This window comes from Homo sapiens, chromosome 4, assembly GCF_000001405.40.
Source record: "Homo sapiens chromosome 4, GRCh38.p14 Primary Assembly".
NCBI classification, from domain to species: Eukaryota; Metazoa; Chordata; class Mammalia; order Primates; family Hominidae; genus Homo; species Homo sapiens.
This window is the reverse complement of record NC_000004.12, coordinates 10,137,100-10,138,489: the sequence shown is the minus strand read 5'-3', so window position 1 is coordinate 10,138,489 and position 1,390 is coordinate 10,137,100.

Here is a 1,390-nt window from a genome sequence, read left to right as displayed (position 1 = left end):
TTAGTGGTTGCAGTTTTTGGTGGGGTGAAGAACTAGTTCAAGTGATAGGTGCACAACATTGTAAATGCGATTAATGCCACCGATTATAAAATTCAACATGGTTGAAATAGAAATGTTTTGTTTAGGTTCATTTGACTATAATACTTTGGAAAACGCAGCTCACCTACTTGGTGATGACGCGGCTGAAGAGGAAACCCACCAGGATGTGATCAGCAGGAAATTTTCCAGACGAGGGTTACTGTCTGATATTTGTAGAGCTTAGAATTCATCCCCCTCTTGACTAGAAAAAGGTTGAACCAACCCGTAAGTAAACCATTCTCAAGAGCCAAAGATGAACAGGGCAAGCCACTGCCCAGGAAGTACAGAGCCAGACAAGAGGACCCTGTCACAGCCAGCAGGGAAAAGTACCTGCAGGAACAGCTTTGACTATCTGAAAGTGAGTATAGGCTCAACGTAGTCAAAAGGAGTTCAGGCTCCAGGGACGGAAATGACTTGGGCTATTTCCAAGAGCCCCACACTTAGTCTCAACTGAGGATGGAAGAATCTCATGCCTCTGGCAAGGGAAACTATTTTGAAATATACCCAGGACTCTCCCTAACAAGGATTGTGGGCTACTTTACCCAGGCCCAACCAACCTGGACATGGGAACATAAGCTCCCGCTCTCTTGACCCGTCCTGCCTCATCTGGGAAGTATTTGAGGTAATGCTAACCAGGAGTTTTCCAAGATTAGTGACAGACGCCAAACCAGATCCAGGAAGCTCAGGTCCAGGTAACATGAGCAAGACATCTATACCTACAACATAACTGCAAAGAAATCTAAGAGCAAAACCTGACATATGACAGGACCTAGCCCAGGGCAGAGGAGCTGTGGAGCCTACATTCCCCAGGGCCCAGCAGGGACTCCCCATGGGCTGCTGTATACCCTTCGAGGCCACACAACCAGAGGCAAGAAGTGCTCAGATACCAGGAGGACCAAGACATCCAGAAGGCTCCTTCTGGAGACAGGTCGGCATAATAGTTCCAAGAGCCACCTCCCCACATCTTAGGCCTGCATGCTCTTGACCCCTTCCATTATTCTCGGGCATCATTTGTCTACCTCCAAAGGTAGTGAATGGCAACAGCATCCACGAAGAACACCCCAAAATCTTGAAACCTTAGGGAGGGGCCGCCTCAAAATCCTGGCATGCCAGTCCCCAAAGCACGTGCCCTTTATGTTCACAGTGAGGTGGGATGTGGTCTGTTGGGAATTCGTCTGGCAGGACCCCAGTACATTCCATGGAACACCCAACTGCTGAGGGTAAGAACACCCCTGAGACAGGAAGCAGGCACACAGGATGACAGCCCCTGGTGGGTCCATCAGACCAGGAACTAACATCCTCTCCAACCCTA